Source organism: Homo sapiens, chromosome 4, assembly GCF_000001405.40.
Source record: "Homo sapiens chromosome 4, GRCh38.p14 Primary Assembly".
In the NCBI taxonomy this organism is placed as follows: domain Eukaryota; kingdom Metazoa; phylum Chordata; class Mammalia; order Primates; family Hominidae; genus Homo; species Homo sapiens.
Window position 1 is genome coordinate 28,467,214 of NC_000004.12, and position 14,759 is coordinate 28,481,972.

At 38.7% G+C, this 14,759-nt stretch overlaps 1 long non-coding RNA gene across 3 annotated transcripts in view; it reads left to right on the forward strand.

Moving 5' to 3' along the window:
* Nucleotides 1-14,759, forward strand: part of LOC105374557 (uncharacterized) — a 485,690-nt gene that overhangs the window by 349,704 nt on the left and 121,227 nt on the right. For all 3 annotated transcript variants that reach the window (NR_188396.1, NR_188397.1, NR_188399.1), the window contains one exon: nt 9,237-9,296. This is a non-coding gene — a long non-coding RNA (uncharacterized LOC105374557). The remainder of the gene's footprint in view (nt 1-9,236; nt 9,297-14,759) is intronic.

A 14,759-nucleotide genomic window follows, 5' to 3' on the forward strand; every position in this document is an offset into this window, starting at 1 on the left:
ATTTTTGACAACATGGCTCAACCTGGAGGACATTATGCAAACTGAATTAAGCTAGGTACAGAAAGACACATATTGCATGATATTATTTATATGTGGAATCTAAAAAATTCAAACTCATAGAAGCAGAGAGTTGAAAGTTGGTTGCCAGTGGCTGGGGAGTGGGGTAAATGGGAAGGTATTGTCCTTAAGGTACAAGCTTTCAGTTATAATTTGAATAAATTCTGGGGATCTAATGTACAGTATGATTATTATAGTTAATATTACATTGTTTACTTAAAATATGCTAAGAGATTGGATCTTAAATGTTCTCATCTCTCTCCGTCTCTCTTTCTCTCTCTGTCCCTCACACACACACACAATGACAGCTATGTGTGGTAATGGATCTGTGAATCAATTTGATTGAAGTAGTCATTTCGCAGTATGTACGTATATCAAATTAAGAAAACACTCCCACATTCAATAGCATCAAAAACATGTAAAATTTTGTCAGTTATGTTAGTAAAGCCAAAAAAAACTTAAAAATAACACTAGCTTGTGGGAACAACTACATCCCCCACTAAATAAATAAATATATATATGTGTGTGTGTTTGCATATGTGTGTGTGTATATATATATATGTATATATATATATTTTTTTTTTTTTGAGATGGAGTCTCATTCTGTTGCCCACGCTGGAGTGTAGTGGCACAATCTCGACTCACTGCAGCTTCCGCCTCCTGGGTTCAAGCGATTCTCCTGCCTCAGCCTCCCGAGTAGCTGGGACTACAGGCACACACCACCAAGCCTGGCTATTTTTTTTTTTTTTTTTTCAGTAGAGACGGGGTTTCACCATGTTGGCCAGGCTGGTCTTGAACTCCTGACCTCAGGTGATCCACCCTCCTCGGCCTCCCAAAGTGCTGGGATTACAGGCGTGTGCCACTACGTCTGGCCCAATAAATATATTTTTTAAAAAGAACATTTATTTAAATTTCTAAAGATAGACATCAGGCTGCTGGTAAGTCTTCTCATTTTAAATCAACAAATATAAACAGGAAGTTTGATATAGGAATGCACTTGGGTAATAAAATAAAAAATTATGATATGGTTATTATAATCCTGCTTTCAAAGGACATACAATCAACAGGTGAGACAAAGCTGTGCAATGTTGACTGTATATTAGGATGAGTGATGTGTGTAGCTAATCAAAATATGAAAATAAAATGTGCCACCAGAAATGATCTGCATTTTCGCACTCAGATATTCGGGAATATTTGCAAAGGAAGGGGTGTTTTAGGTGAGCCTTAAAGGATGAAAAGGATAAGCATAGATTGAGGTGGAGGGCAATCTAGGGTAAGAATAGCTTCTGGGCATGGCCTGCTCAGTGTCTATAATGAAGACATTGTCGCAGGATCTTTATAAGAACATAGGAGGGGATGGGATTAGAAAGGACTGTGGTCGCAAACAAAAGGAGATTTGCAATGTCTTGTTGAAGATTTCAAAATTTATAGTATAGTTAATGATGTATTATTGTACAAGTTGGACTATGATGTAAGAGTAACTATGTTGTGAAAGAATGCTTAGAGCTTGAGGTGACATATCTTTAGGTGGAATATTTTCCCTTATTTTATATTTTTATTTTTATTTACTCATTTTTAGAGATGGAGGCTCACTCTGTTGCCCAGGCTGGAGTGCAGCTGCTCAATCATAACTCATTGCAGCCTCAAACTCCTGGGCTCAAGTGATCCTCCTAACTCAAACCCCCACTCCCCCACAAGTAGCTGGGACTACAGTGTGCCACCATGTCTGGCTCTTTTATTTTAAAGGTGAAGGAATAGACATATAGAGGTTCTCTAAGTTAACCAAAGGTTGTATAACAGGCTGAAAGTGGTGGACTTGACTATTATAGTCAGAAACTCTGACTCTTTGAGTCAATGTTTTTTTTTTACCACTGCCCCTTTCTCTGCCTCTCTGGAGAACAGATGACTGTAGCAAAAAATAATAATTATTATAACATGATGAGTATTATGCACAAGTAGAGATGTAGGTTGCTTAGGGCCTAAGCATTGCTTTGGTGTGTTGGTGAGGAGAATAAGAGAAGGAGAGGAGTTAAGATCATTTCAAAATTATTCTGCATGAGTAAAAGGCTTTGTAGATAGTAAACCAAGAAAGGAGAAGTAGGAATAGAGGCAACAGCTCTCTGTAGCTTGTTTGCATATATTTTTCCACAATAGATTTGTTGGGTTAAGACCAGCAAGACATTTGTTTGGTGATATTTAGCAGTTCGACTATTCTTAGATGCTCCATTTATTCATAAAATCACCAGATGAACATTTTTATCTTGGGAAGTTCCATTTCCCTTTATGTATGTAGTCATAGTCATTTTAGAGTCATAGCCACAGATAAACACTCAGACCCACAAACACAGGAAGAGTCCCTCCTTTACTCTGAATGTTAAATGGCTGAGAGATATTAATTGGTAATTTGGAACAATAAGCTCAGGAGCATTGTATTGTAATGTTACCAGCTTTAATAAAGGTGGGAAATAATTCAGATTTTTTTTTCTATTTGACTGTACCCATAGAGCTTTTTTATATACAAGAATACTTAATATATAAAAAATCTGAATACTGTCTTTTGTTATTTTGCAAAATCTTCTGCAGTAGTTTAAAATATTGGGCCTAATTCTGAACTTGTTCTTGGATGTAGGTTCTTTAGCATGTGATTTTAAAGTAACTCCTAGGAAAGATGAAATATACTCTACTGCTATTTACTTTGGCTTCTTCCATAGAACTTGCTTTTTTTAATGGGATTTGGGCAAAAATGACCTTGCATAAACTCTTAGTTTAATCCTTAAGCAATCTTGTGTATTTCAACGAATGCTCTTGTGCTTGTATCTTCACTAAGAAAATAAAACAGCCTTAGTCATGCCCACAGGCCCCACAAGTTGAAAGAGATGTGCAGAGCTGAGCCTCACTAGCTGACTTTACTTAGCATAAAGTACAGCTGCCCCAGCCAACCTGCAAACACATGAGAGCAATACATTCGTATTGTCTTCTACTATTAATTGCTGTAAGTCACACAGCAATAGTTGACCAAAACACCTCCGTATAAGTATATGTGGAAGCTCTTTTTATGTTTACAAAAAAAATTTGTTAATTTGAGATAGAAATTATAGAAAATAAGGGTTCCCCAATTTGTCAAGAGCCTGCTGAAGGCCTGTACAATAATACTCATGGAAAAAATATTACGAGTTTCCAAACCAGAGAGAAAGAGAGAGAGAGAGGAAGAGTGAATGTGTGTGTGTGTGTGTGTGTGTGTGTGTATGTGTGTGTGTGTGTGTGAAAGACAGAAAGGTGCTACTGAACAGAATCACATAATCAATATACAGCCTTCCTCTCTAGCACTTTACAAAGGAGAGAAGGCCAGTGCTGACCGATTGATGTATTCTATTTTAACATATTGCTTCTTTGCAAGTTGGTTTTTTAAAGTAAGCTACAGGCTTTGATTTTTTAGAATAACCCTTGCACTATTATCAATTTATCTTGCCAGAATTTTGACTTCCTCATGAAAGCCCAGAAGTCCTTTTTGTAGAGTGCATTGGAACATAGTCTTAGGTCTCTCTATGAAAACCTCCAAAATAACCTTAAAAAGGTTTTAATATTAAAATAAGCACTAAAATAGTTAAACTATTTTTTAAATGTCTCCTAAATTTTGAAGTTATATATTCCTAAATACTCATATTCAAGACAAAATTATACTTCTATAGATTTTAGATTCAGCTGGGGTAGGATAATGATGTAATATTCCAGGATATCCATAGCAGAGGGGAAGGATTAACCAAAACAGCCATTTCTTCTGTTATCAATGAACCTCTGTCCAGAAGCCTCATCTTTACTTCTAGTCATGGTCTCTTTTTAGGTTGAGCAATGCCAAGTGCAGCCATGTTCACATTACTAATTATTCAATCTATTGGTCATTAGATTAGTCATTAAAACCCTATGTTTTAAGGACTCACAGGGGCCTTTGGACTTCATTCAATGAGTTTTCTAAATCAATATCATAGGTACTCATTAGAAGAATAATAAAGACTAGACTTAATCAAAATTTTATTTTTGCTCTGCCTGAGCAAAATTCGATAAAGAAAGAAAAAAGAGATATATTATTCTTTTAATTCTAGTTTCTGGCACTGGCCTCAGGTAAAATATTAAAATTGGCAAAGTCCCCTTTTCTTCCAAAAAACAATGCATAATGTTGGAGATGCCAGGTGATGGTTATTTGTCAAGAATGGTCCTAGGGTTTATAAGCCCATCAGAGATAAAAATTGACAATAAATAATCTTTGTCCCTGGGAAGACAGATAGTAATCAATAAATGATAGATAATAAAATACTATGTTGAAAGGTTAAAATTATACGGTAAAATAGATCTGGGAAGAGAGTTAAGGTAGAGTCTATGGTAGAGATTAGAAGTAGTGGACAGTGTTAGTCTCATGGAGAAAATGACAGAAACATGGTATGGATTAAAGGAGAGAAAGGACCAACCAAAAAGTCAATATGAGAGAATATCAGTGCAGAGTTCCTGAGGCAGTAAGTGCTCAGTAGATTCCAGGAGCTTTATTGGTCTACCATGTGGTCATTATGGAGGAGAGAAATAGAAGATGACATAAGGAGGGAATGAGGAGCCAGATTGTGTAGAGCTGCATAAATCACAGTAAAGACTTTGGCTTTTACTCTGTGAGAAAAGAGGTGAGCAGCAAAGGGTATGAAGCAGGTGGATGACATCTAATAAAATGTTTAACAGCATCTTTTTGGCCCCTGTGTTTGGAAGGTGATTGGTTAGGCTTTGTGTCCCCACCCCAAATCTCATTTTGAATTATAATCCCCATAATGCCCACATGTCAAGGGAGAGACCAGGTGGAAGTAATTGGATCATGGAGGTGGTTTTCCCCATGCTGTTCTTGTGATAGTGAGTGAGCTCTCACAAGATCTGATGGTTTTGTAAGGGGCTCTTCCCCCTTCACTCAGCACTTCTCCCTCCTTCCACCTTGTGAAGGTGTCTTGTTTTCCCTTCACCTTCCACCACAATTGTAAGTTTCCTGAGGCCTCCCTAGCCATTCCGAACTGTGAGTCAATTAAACCTCTTTCCTTTATAAATTACCAGACTCAGGCAGTTTCTTATAGTGATATGAAAACAGACCAATACAGTAAATTAATACTGCAGAGAGTGGGGTGCTGCCATAAAGACACTTGAAAATGAGGAAGCAAATTTCGAACTGGGTAACAGGCAGAGATTGAAACAGTTTGGAGAGCTCAGAATAACACAGGAACATGTGATAAAGTTTGGAACTTCCTGGAGACTTGTTGAATGGCTTTGACAAAAATGCTGATAGTGATAAGGACAATGAAGTCCAAGCTGAGCTGGTCTCTGATGGAAGTGAGAAACTTGTTGGGAACTGGAATAAAGGTGACTCTTGCTATGCTTTCACAAAGAGACTGGTGGCACTTTGCTGCTGCTCTAGACATCTGTGGGACATTAAACTTGAGAGAGATGATTTAGGGTATCTGGAGAAAGAAATTTCTAAGCAGCAAACCTTTCAAGATATGACTTGGGTGCTCTTAAAAGCATTCAGTTTTCTGCATTCACAAAGAAAGGATTTGGACTTGGAACTTACGATTTAAAGGAAAGCAGAGCATAACAGTTTGAAAAATATGCAGCCTGACAATGTAATAGAAAAGCAAAACCCATTTTCTGAAGAAAAATTCAAGCCATAATTTTGCATAAGTATTCAGGAGCCAAATGTTAATTGCCAAGACAATGGAGAAAATGTCTCCAGGGCATGTCAGAGGTCTTCACAGCAGCTCTTCCCATCACAGGTCCTGAGGTGTAGGAGAGAAAAATGGTTTCCTTGGCTGGGCCCAGGATCTTGCTGCTTTGTGCAGACTCAGGACTTGCTGACCTGCATCCCTGCCTTGGCTAAAAGGGGCCAATGTACAGCTCAGGCAATTGCTTCAGAGAATGCAAGCCCCAAGCCTTGGCAGCTTACATGTGATGTTGGGTCTGACGGTGCACAGAAGTCAAGAATTGAGATTTGGGAACCTCCACTAAGATTTCGGAGGATGTATGGAAATGCCTGGATTTTCAGACAGAAGTTTGCTGCAGGAGTGGAGCCCTCATGAGGGTTCTGCCAGTGTGAAAGGGAACTGTGGGGTCAGAGCTGCCACACAGAGTCCCCACTGGGTCACTACCTAGTGAAGCTGTGAGAAGATGGCCACTCCTCCAGACCCCAGAATGGTAGATCCTTTGACAGTTTGCACTGGCCCCCTGGAAAAGCCACAGACACTCAATAGCAGCCCATGTAAGCAGCTGAGAATAGGGCTGTACCCTGCAAAGCCACAGGGCAGTGCTGCCTGAAACCACAGGAACCCACTTCTTACATCAGTATGACCTGGATGTGAGACATGGAGTCAAAGGAGATCATTTTGGAGCTTTAAGATTTGATTGCCCCACTGGATTTTGGACAAAAATGGAGCCTGCAGCCTTTGTTCTGGCCAATTTCTCCCATTTGGAATGGTAACATTTATTTGATTCCTGTACTATCATTGTATCTAGGAAGTATCTAATTTGTTTTTGATTTTACAGGCTCACAGGTGGAAGGGACTTGCCTTGTCTAAGATAAGACTTTAAACTTGGACTTTTGGGTTAATGCTGGAATGAGTTAAGACTTTGGGGACTGTTCAGAAGGTATGCTTGGTTTTGAAATGTGAAAGGGACATGAGATTTTGGAAGGGCCAGGGGTGGAATGATATGGTTAGGCTTCGTGGCTCCACCAAAATCTCATTTTGAATTATAATCCCATAATCCCCATGTGTCAAGGGAAAGACCAGGTGAAGGTAATTGGATCATGGAGGCAATTTCTCTCCTCTCATGATAATAAGTGAGTTCTCATGAGATCTGATGGTTTTATAAGGGACTCTTTTCACTTTGCTCAGCACTTCTCCTTCCTGCCACCTTGTGAAGAAGGTGCCTTGCGTCCCCTTTGCCTTCTGCCATGATTGTAAGTTTCCTGAATCCTCCCCGGCCGTGCTGGACTGTGAGTCAATTAAACCACTTTCCTTTTTAAATTACCCAGTCTCAAGCAGTTCTTTATATAGTATGAAAGTGGACTAATATAGAAGGGCTACAAGAGTGGCAAGGACACAAACATGGAGACCAATTGTGGTTATTGCAATATTTCAGACAGGTGATAATTGTTTAGACAAGAGTAATAGCAATGGGATGTGGAGAGAAGTGAATCTTTATTAAGGTTAGAGACGATGTGATTTAGTAGAAGGTATGAGAAAAAATAGGGAACCAAAGATGTCTCAGGCTTTTGTCCTGTGCACCTAGAATGAAATTGCGGCATTAACTGAATAAAGAAAGTCTGTGGATAGAGCAGGTTTTGGAACCAGATGGGAGCACTCTCTGTATACCCTATTTCCAGTCTTTCAGAGCCTCTATACAACTCCTTTAATACCAACCTATGATGTCAGACACTCTATTCCTATCACAATCCCAGTTAGATAATCTGAAAAATTAACTTTTGAGAACTCCATAGACAAAAACAAATTTATCTTGATAACCTCTGTCACCTGAGGATAAAATATGTCTTCATAAAGTCCATAACAACCACAGATCTTTTACTAAATGAACAGTGTAAAAAGTAAACATCTTACGTCAATGACCAAGGAAACATAGAACTGTAATAAGTTGTATGGTTTTGGAAAATTTGAATCTCAAACAGATCTTGAAATCACACCATGTGTATAGTCACCCACCTTGAACTTCAGCAAGGCCAACAAAATTGACTTACACTTCAGGCACTGAAGCTGTAGTATTTTAGGGCCTGTGGCTATATTAAGAGTGCAAATCAATGCTCTTACTTATTGTAAAATCTGGGCTGGTTATGGGGACCCTTAGTCTTTATACTTTAGAAAGCTGAGGCAGGAGGATCACTTGAGGGCAGGAGTTCAACACCAGCCTGGGCAACATAGCAAACTGCCCAACTTTTAAAAAATCTTTAAAAAATTAACCAGGTATGGTGATACACACCTGTAGTCCTAGCTACTCAGAAGGCTGATGTGGGAGGATCACTTGAGCCCAGGAGTTCAAGGTTACAGTGAGCTATGATTGCACCACTGCACTCCAGCCTGGGCAACAGAGTGAGACTCACTCTCTGAAAAAAAAAAATAATAATAGTAAAATCAGAAAAATAAAGTAACACGATTAGACTGGACTCCATTCATCTTTATACCAAAACAATAATACAACTCAGCTTTAGAAATGCATCTATTTATTGGAAGAAAGAGCACACAAATGCAAAAATGCTGGGCCCAAAAAATTCATAATGAGTCCCAGAGGGCCATGTTGGATTTTAATGTAGTCCATACTACAACATGCTGGAATTATTGAGTTAATGCTTTTGCATCAAAAACACAACTCTATCATCAGAGATCTGAAACTCTGTATTTCAAACCACACCTTCAGAGGAATACTTGTTTATAAAGACAGTATGCTTGTTTGCTGAATATTGTCTATTAACTCTTGATAGCAATGTACTATGTGCTCCACACTAATTAAATCTTTGGAAATGAAACATTCAAGAAGTACAGAAAAACTTAGTAAAATTTCCCTCTGTCACAAACCAATGTGTTTCTCTTTTTAAATAAAATTCTTCTTGGACATTGTCTTTTAAGTGTTTAAAATTGCAAACATAATTCAATAATCAAGGGAAATGATTGCAGAAATGTCCTGGATTGAGGCAATTTAAAGCAGCAGGTAAATTTAATCCCGTATCAGATACTCCACAGGGTTGACAAACCTGTATTTTACTCACCCCGAGGAGTCTGAAAAGAATTGATGGACAAGTGAAAAACAAAATGAAATGGCAGTGCCAAATCTCTTTCTTTTTGCACAGTGAACCAAAAAAGATTTTGGATTGATTAAAAAAGGCTGGCTACTCTTCACTCAGAGCTGTAACACTTAGGTGAAAATGAATAATAAGCCTAGAACAAAAAATAAGCTATTCCACACTCTTCTGACGCATTGATAACTACCTCTTTTTTTGTTTTTTTGAACTTTGTTTTCCTTTTTTTGTCTGGTTGTTAGTGTATGTATCTGGCAGAATCAAGAATTAAGGCTTATATCCATTGGATAAGCTTTAAAAAAATGTTTGGCAATGAATTTTCTAATGATAAAATGTCCTTGAACTCTCATTTCAGGTGCCCAGGAAGTCCTGGAACTGAGTCCTGGGGCAAGGTTCTGGAAGTTGGGACAAGAAGGTAAGAGTGTGTTGAGACTGCTGTGTTAATAATGAGGAGTGTGGTTGAGATATTTGTGAAGTATCAATGTCCAAAACCAAAGAGGGGAACAGCAAAGAGAGTCATTGCAAATTTGCACAAATGTCCAAGTTGCTGAGCAAAAGGTAGAAGCCAATTTAAAGCTAAGATACTCTGGCTGGAGCCTGCAGGAAGACATACATGCCTTATGTATAAATTGCCATCTAAACTGAGAGAGCCCACAAATATCCCTCAGAGCCATGCATTCATTCTACACTTGTTCCTTCTATTCCTTCCTCTTCTTTTCTCCCCATTTCCCTCTGTAAAAGGCAGTATTACTTCATGAATAACAAAGTTGACAGCTAACGAATTGTAACCCAAGTTCTGACATTTACTGGCCTTGTGTCGTTAAATAACCACCATAAACTTCTCACTATAGCTTCATTTGTTAAACAGGCACGTGAGGAGTAAACACCTTACAAATTTATTTTAAAGTTTAAATTTGATCATTTGTTATTAGCATAGAATTCTTTTCTTTTTTTTTAGGAATCCAGGTCTTATTCTGTGGCTTGACACAATAGAGATGATGAGTAAATATTAATTGCTTTTTTGTTACTGTTGTGCTCTGTGACTGGATGAAGCCATATTGACTTAAATACAGAATATTTAAAGTCTTTAAAGTTTTATTTCATGTAGGAATTAACCTTTGATTCTTTACTTCCCTCAAATTCCCCATTTAACGATTTTTGAACTCACTAATATTTATCAGAAGTAAAATTGTAAATTCCAATGACTAAATTTACTAGTCAGTCCTGAGATGTAATATATAACTTTAAAAATATTTACCATGTTTTTCTGTCATCTAGTTTATTATATTTAAAGTCTTTTCACTTTAGCAATACGTAGTTTAAGCAGCTGATTTTACAGAACCTGAGAGTAAGCCAACATTATAACAAATGTCTCAAAATAGCTGAACTGATATTTCAGGTCATTAAAAAATAACATTTGGCTGGGCGTGGTGGTTCACCCCTGTAATCCCAGCACTTTGGGAAGCCAAGGTGGGTGGATCACAAGGTCAGGAGTTGGAGACTAGCCTGACCAACATGGCGAAATCCCATCTCTACTAAAAATACAAAAATTAGCCAGGCATGGTGGCGGGCGTCTGTAATCCCAGCTACTCGGGAGGCTGAGGCAGGAGAATCTCTTGAACCTGGGAGGCAGAGGCAGTGAGCCAAGATGTGCCATTGCACTCCAGCCTGGGCAACAAGAGCAAAACTCCATCCCAGAAAAGAAAAAAAATAATAATAATATTTTCAGATGAACACCAAGCAGGCTAATAACAATATGACCCAATCAGTATGGTTAAATTAAAAAATCTATCATTAAAAAACATCACTCTGAAATACTTGTAGTATTGCTATAGGGGTATCTATTTCTTCTATAATTCAATTTTTATGCTTTTGTTCATTAAAAACTTTAGAACTCAAAATTTTCAATGGAAATAAGATAAAATGTTTTGTCTTGTTGCTTAACTGCACATAAACAGAGGAAGATCTGACAAACAAAATGCAATGTGCCATTCAAATACAATAAGCTTAAAACAGAAAACGATGCTGGGCCATAGATGCCTCTCTATATTGTTTCCTTCCTTGTAGCTACTGCTTAGCATTTTCCTTCTATGTCTGTAACTGTCATTAGAATTTAAGTCTGCTACATTTGTCTTGGCATTCTCTCTTGCACACTCCACTTAGCTTTCTTTCTTACAGTTCCTGGCACCAGTACACCCCAACAAGTGTGTTATGGAAGCATGAATTATTGCAATGCTTTTGATCCTATTTATTGAGAACCAACTATGTGCAGGCAGTGATTTAAGAGCTGGGGCATAAGACAAAGAACAAAACAGACCAAACCCCTGCTCTCAATGTGCTTATATGATCATAATGAGGGAGTTGTGGCATTTGCAATGCCAGGTGGCATCCACCCATGAATGAGATTCACAAGCCTAAGTGTAAGGGGACGTCTCTCATGAAGCCCTGGGTTGCTGGGAACCCTGGGGATTATCTCTGCAATGGGCAAAACAAATCCTTATTGCACTGCTCCTCTTCTACATACAGAGTATTCTGGGAGAAAAAGCACAAATGCCCAGAAATTCAATTTAGATGCCCGAAAGGAAAAAAAAATACAAAAAACTTTAAATTTCAGAGCTTCTACCCTATTTATGCAGAGTTAAGGACAGGGTGCTGATATAACAGGGGGTTGTTGATATCATCCATTTTTTTGAAAACTAACGGCAAATAAAATTTAAAATCTATAAGAATTATTTTTACTGCACAGGCTGGCCTCAAAAATTAGTGTAGAAAAGAAGGATAAGGAAAAGAATTAAAATGACTCTGCATGGTAATGTGAAATATGTACTCAATTTGCAGACTGTGGTAATGCCTGTGAATTATGTGACCTTTGGGAAAATGGTTCTCCTTTTTCTATTGTTTCACAGGATATTTGGAGAGTATATGTAAATGAGAATGAGTGTGCATATGAGTGTTTGCAGTCGTGCTTTGCACAATACATCAAAAGTTACTAGGAAAAAAAAGAATAAAGAAACATACATTCATCTCGCACTGGCCACAAGACTTAAATAAGACTGGACCTATCTTAGTCAGTGTTCTCCAGAGAAACAGAATCATCGTGTGTGTGTGTGTGTGTGTGTGTGTGTGTGTGTGTGTACATATATATATCTCTTATTGGTTTTCTCTTTCTCTGAATCTCTCCCTCTCGCTCTCTTTCAATCTGAAGTTGGCAAGCTGATGATCCATGAGAGCTGGTGTGTAGTTCCAGTCCAAATCTGAAGGGTTGAGAACCAGGAGAGCCTATGCTTAAGTTCAAGTCTGAAAAGCACCAGATTCAAGACCCAAGAAGAGTACATGTTTCAGTCCAAGTTAGAAGGCCAGAAAAGACTGATGTTCAGCAAAGCAGTCAGGCAGAAAGGGTTTCCGCTCATGCAGCCTTTTTGTTCTATTCAGGCCTTCAATTGACTTAATGAGCCCTAGCCACATTGGGAGGGGCAATCCGGTTTACTCTGTGTATTAATTCAAAGGTGAACTCAACCGGGAATACCCTCACACACACTCAGAATAATATTTGGCCACATGTCTGGGTGCCCTGTGACCCAGTCAAGTTGAAACGCCAAACTAGCCATCAGAGACCCACTCTTTGAGTGTTCTGATAAAGCCCTTTCAGGTATTCAAGAAGAATTTCTCAAAAACCAGACACTATGCTCTGTGAGTTACTATATGCCATTGTCCAGGCAAGGAAGTGGTTGAGATCCTAAAGGGATACCGGGTTCTGTGCATAGAGGGTGAGGTGCTCAAAAGAGGGGGAAGGGGATGGGGGAATTTGCAATATAATGGACTATAGGAATGCCAGCTTTCTCTCTTTCTTTCTGTGTTTTTTTTTCTTCCTGCTACCCCCACGTATCAGTCACTCCTTCATAATATAGCAGAAAATTGTATTAAAAAATAGTGCTAGGTCTCCCCTCTGCTCTTTCTCTATGTTTCTGTTACAATCTTTCTGCTATCCACACACATCGGTCATGTATTAGTGGCGTAGCAGAAAATTATGAGACTGAGGTATAGGAATGTGTGACCTTCATGTATCACCTCTTTGCTGAGGCCAGTATCGTTATAGCTGCATCTGGTCAAAGGAGGATGGTGGTCCGGACATTCCTGGGGAGGTTCTGGTACTGCCGACAGGATGTAAAGCAGTGGGAAGAGACTGATCAACAGGGAACCTGGCAGCACTATGGAATGTCTCTGGAGAAGGTGTTACATAAACCTAAAAATAGGAATAAAAAGGTAAACCAAAATAGGCATATGTGTATATGTAGGTTGGGGTAAGGAGAGATAGACATTTGAATTCATTTTGATAGTCCACTGGCTTGTTGTAAAATAATTTGTACTTGGCCCGTTCCCAAAACTTCTCTGACAGCAAAAAATGCCCAGTTCATGTTTATCTAGACAAAGGCTGAATCTGTGTCTGTGGATTTACTTCTATCTGCACAGTGGGTGCACTCTCAAAATGCAGATAAAAAAAGGATATACAAAACCCTTCTTTCTGCAGTGAGCCGAGATCGCGCCACTGCACTCCAGCCTGGGCGACAGAGGGAGACTCCGTCTCAAGAAAAACAAACAAACAAAACAACAAAAAACCCTTCTTTCTTTAAAAGCATGGATTCTTATCCTGTTTTTAATTCTCCTACAGAGCTTAGCTCCATCAGTTAGTACAGTACCTGTACCATAACATACACTAAATAAATCTTTCTGGGAGAAATGCATGAAGGTGTGGTGCCAGGGGCTACCATGATTTACATCTTATCTTTTTGTTTTTTGAGACAGAGTTTTGCTCTTGTCTCCCAGGCTGGAGGGCAATGGTGCGATCTTGGCTCACTGCAACCTCCGCCTCCTGGGTTTAAGTGATTCTCCTGCCTCAGCCTCCTGAGTAGCTGGGATTACAGGTGCCCACCACCACACCCAGCTAATTTTTGTATTTTTAGTAGAGACGGGGTTTCGCCCTCTTGGCCAGGCGGGTCTGGAACTCCAGACCTCAGGACATCAACCCACCTCGGCCTCCCAAAGTGCTGAAATTACAAGCGTGAGCCACGGCGCCAGCCTACATCTTAGTCTTTTAAGAAAATCATATTATCAATGCCTTTGCAAAGAAAAATAATACTGTTTGATTTGGATTTATTTGTCTAATCTGTCCTTCATGAATATCTGGATATTTTAGAGGAAAACAGTCCAGACGGAAGGAGTAAATAAGTTATTTTCCTCTGAGCACAACGCACATCTCATTCTAAATATACTTGATTTTTAGCCACGGTTTCCAGATTTTCATTTATCTTTACTTAAATTCAAGTGTGTGACTGAACGCTAAAGGTCACTTTATTTACCAAAACCAAAATGTCAACAAATAAGCATTCTCTTTCCTGCCTCTTCAAATCAGCATGCACAAAACATCACACAATGCTGTAAAACCGTCTCCACAGAGATATTAAATGAAAGTATTAATCCATACAAAATATGTTAATTCCTCATCTACTTAGCCCACAGGAACAGAAAGGATAATGTGTCAGGAATCAAAAACCTTGCATACTAAATAATCCTTTCATAAATCTTACTAAGCAGGAATCCCTGGGAATAATTGTAGTAATTCAGGGCCAATCTGGCCAGGAAAGAGAACACGTGGGTTGTGAGGCTGTGGAACCCGAAATACCTGTTCTCACTGTAGTCAAACTGCTTTAACTGTCTGGTCTTTATATTTTACCACCTGTAAAAGTGGCAATAAAACTTACCTTAAGAATGATTGATCTAAAGTAGAATAGGACCGCTGGAAATGATGTGATTTGGGTAGCCTACAAAAGCTAAAAAATATAAGCTGCAATCACCTATTGAATTTGATATCGATGATGAT